This window comes from Homo sapiens, chromosome 1, assembly GCF_000001405.40.
Source record: "Homo sapiens chromosome 1, GRCh38.p14 Primary Assembly".
Lineage (NCBI taxonomy): Eukaryota > Metazoa > Chordata > Mammalia > Primates > Hominidae > Homo > Homo sapiens.
The window spans coordinates 115,620,873-115,624,791 of record NC_000001.11 but is presented as its reverse complement, the minus strand read 5'-3'; the positions used below and the strand labels follow the sequence as shown (position 1 = coordinate 115,624,791).

The window sequence follows — 3,919 nt, the reverse complement described above, 5'->3', positions numbered from 1 at the left end:
GGCCTGCTTCCCAGGGTTAGTTAGTTCCTAGTGATAGTAAAGGCTCACCCATAAGCATCCTTTTCGTGTGCAAACGAATCAATCCAGACCCTGTACCCCAACCAACTCCTTTACTGAGCTCTTGCAGGGGTCAGATACTGGGCCATTATCCCCCTGCCCAAATCACTCCAGGGTCATATACCAGAAAAATAGAGACAGTCCTTACACCCCAGAGCCTGCTGATGTTATTTAAACTAGCCAATCCTAAGCCTGCTTACCCTGCTTGGCCTGTTTCTTCCCATAGGGACCACAATAAAAGCTCTTGCCCATGTTTCCTGCCTGCTCTGTCTGCCTCTTGGCCGACTGTGGTGCGTCCCTGTGTGGCCTTGCACAGCATGGCATGCATTCTCCCCTTAGGAACTATGAGGAACCAACTATCTTTTCAATGGCAATTGTCTCCTGATCTGTTGGCCTCACCATACCCCAGTATAATAAAACCTACTTTTTTTTTTTTTTTTAAGATGAGTCTCGCTGTGTTGCCCAGGCTGGAGTGCAGTGGCATGATCTCGGCTTACTGCAACCTCTGCGTCTCAGGTTCAAGCAATTCTCCTGCCCTCAGCCTCCCAAGTAGCTGGGATTACAGGGATGCACCACCACACCCAGCTAATTTTTGTATTTTTAATACACACGGGGTTTCACCAAGTTGGCCAGGCTGGTTTCGAACTCTTGACCTTAGGTGATCCGCCCCCCTTGGCCTCCCTAAGTGTTAGGATTGCAGGCATGAGCCACCATGCCCCCGATAAAACCTACATTTTAAAAAAGGGTTTGTATTCAATCTTCACTGATTTGTGAACTATATAAATGAACAGACAGAAGCAATTAATATTTATTGTGTTTTTACAATGTGTCAGGCATTGTAATAGTCATTTTTATCTATTACTTATTTAATGGTAATTTCCAAAATCAAGTAGGTTAAATAACTTTACCAATGTCACAAGACAGGCTAAACTCAGGTCTTCTGGTTCGCAGCTCAGGACTTTCCTACCACACTATTTGTAGATAACTAAGACAAATCTCTTTTCTTTTTCTTTTCTTTCTTTCTTTTTTTGTTTGAAAGAGATGGGGTCTTGCTATGTTGCTCAGGTTGGTTCAAACTTCCCCCCGCCAGCCTCTCAAGTAGCTATGACTATAGGTATGTGCCACCATGCCCATCAGATTTCTTTCTTCTTTTCTTTCTTTTTTTATTTTAGTTGGTTTTTGAGATGCAGTTTTGCTCTTGTTGCCAAGGCTGGAGTGCAGTGGCATGTTCTTGGCTCACTGCAACCTCCACATCCCAGGTTCAAGTGATTCTCTTGCCTCAGCCTCCTGAGTAGCTGGGATTACAGGTGCCCACCAACACATCCAGTTAATTTTTTGTATTTTTAGTAGAGATGGGGTTTTACTGTGTTGGCCAGGCTGGTCTCAAATTCCTGACCTCAGGTGATCCACCCTCCTTGGCCTCCCAAAGTGCTGGGATTACAAGCGTGAGCCACCCTGCCCAGCAGATTTCTTTTTGTTGTTTCTTTATTCCTCTTTCTTTCCCTAATTAATGATCACTGTCCAATCCTCACCACCACTTTTCTACCTATCCTTTTCTTAAAAAAAAAAAAATTCCTCTGCAGCATTATTTGTTTGTTTCCTCCCCTCCCAGGTGAAAATATGAAAGACAAATAAATTGTAAGTTACAGAATAAAACAAAGTTCTTAATTTTAATTACAAATGTTTTTAAGTTTGGATCTTAATATTTTTATATTTTTAAGTTTAACAATACAGTCTTCAAACATGTACTTTGTTTTAAATGTTTTTTTAAAAAAACATGAGGGCCACAATAGACTAACAGGGCCAGATTTATTCTCCCACCTGAAATAACTATGAATTAGGACAAAATATAGGAAACAACAGGATTCCAGAAATTGGACATCAGGTAACAGAAGACCACGATTCCTGAGAGACTGAAAACAAATTAGGTATTCCCTACAGTTGTCACAGCTTGCTGTCTAGAGGGAATTTTTAGGTTGTACAGGGAGAGGAAACCCAAGTGGAGACTATTGATCTCCTTGCCTTGAAGAGGGAGGCCTAGGATCTCAGGGAGGCCAAGGAGACTAGAGTTTGCAGGACAGAGTAACAGAGATGAGAGGGCTGCAGAGAGAGAAAACCCTGGAAATCCACAGCAAATCCCCTCAAGCATTCAGCTGAGTCCTGTTGAGTGCAGATGTGTGAGGAGAGAATCCTCTGAATGGATAAGAGGGAACAGTACCTAGAACTCACACAGGAATGTAAATAGTGCCTGTTATGACCAGCCAGGCTGAAAAACCTCAGTTTGTGGAGCACTGGGTAGTGTAATCAGAAAGGTATTCCCTCAGTAGTGGGACAAAAAGCCCCCTAGTTGAAACATTGCTCAGGTTGTGCCAAACAAAGCTTAGAAGCAAGACCTGAAAGTGTCAAACTCTTTCTAATAACTCTGTATTACAGAACAAAGTTCAAGGATATTTATGAAATGCACAAATATCTGTCACCCAATAAAGCAAATTTACAATGACTGAGATCCTATAAAAATTACCAAACATATAAAGAAGTATACAGGAGAAAGTGAGCCATAACAGGGAGGACAATATATCAACTGAAACTCACAAAACTGACATAGATGATAGAAGCAGAAAAACAAAATCAAAATGGTCATCTTAAGTTGTATCTCATATATTCAGAAACTTAGGTGAAAGATTAAACATGATAAGTAGAGAAACGAAAGACATAAAACAAACCCAACAGCATGGTAGTGGGTTCATTGGGGGCCCTTCTCTGTGGGCCTCATAGCGTACCCATGCCAGTGTAAACTTGAGCCTTGAACCATTGCCCAGCCTCCTTCCCATGGGCTGTGTGTAGCGAAGGGGGTTGCACAGTGTCAAACAAGCAAAAAAATCCAAGTTGAGCTTCTAGAGATGAAAATTATAATTTCTGAAATAAAAATTACACTAGATAGGATTAACAAAAGGTAAGACATTGCAGAAAAAAAATTAATAAACTTGAGGACATAGCAATAGATACTATCCAAAATGAAACACAGAGAAGGCCAGGCACGATGGTTCACACCTGTAATCCCGCACTTTGGGAGGCTGAGGTGGGCAGATCACGAGGTCAGGAGTTCGACACCAGCCTGGCCAACATGGTTAAACCCCATTAAAAAATACAAAAATTAGCTGTCTGTGGTGGCAGGTGCCTGTAGTCCCAGCTCCTCAGGAGGCTGAGGCAGGAGAATTGCTTGAACATGGGAGGCAGAGGTTGCAGTGAGCCGAGATTGCGCCACTGCCCTCCAGCCTGGGCAACAGAGTGAGACTATGTCTCAAAAAAAAAAAAAAAGAGACATAGAAAAAAATTGAAAAGTGAGTCATGGGTATAATATACATGTACTAGGGGTTTCCCAGGAGGGGGATAGAAAAAATACATGAAGAAATAATGGCTCCCAACTTTCCAAATATCATGAAAATGATAAACTCTCAGATTCAAGAAACTCAATGAAACTTGAAGAAAATTGCTCAACAACATCAAATTGCTCAAAGCCAGTAACAAAGGGAAAAACATTTGGGGGGATGAGGGGCACAGGGAATGGAGACATTACATACAGAAGAACTAAGAGAAGAATAACAGCAAATTCATCATCAGAAACAATGCCAGCATGAAGACAATGGAGTAACTTCTTTAAAGTACTGAAAAAAAAAATGTCAGTTTAGCATTCTACACAATATACTTTTATATCCACTGAAAATATCTTTCAAAAATGAAGGCAAAGTAGATAAATTTTTAGACTTAAAAAATCTGAATGTATTAATCACCAGCAAGTTTATGCATCTTCTGCAATGTCTAATCAGTTGTTAATCCCATTCAATGTTTTTTTTTTAAATTT

General features: G+C 40.9%; 1 non-coding gene across 1 annotated transcript; it reads left to right on the top strand.

Moving 5' to 3' along the window:
- Positions 1–2,786: 2,786 nt before the first annotated feature.
- On the top strand, positions 2,787–2,920 carry LOC124900438 (small nucleolar RNA SNORA42/SNORA80 family). Its single transcript, XR_007067393.1, has one exon. It is a non-coding gene; the product is annotated as a small nucleolar RNA SNORA42/SNORA80 family (small nucleolar RNA).
- Positions 2,921–3,919: the final 999 nt, after the last annotated feature.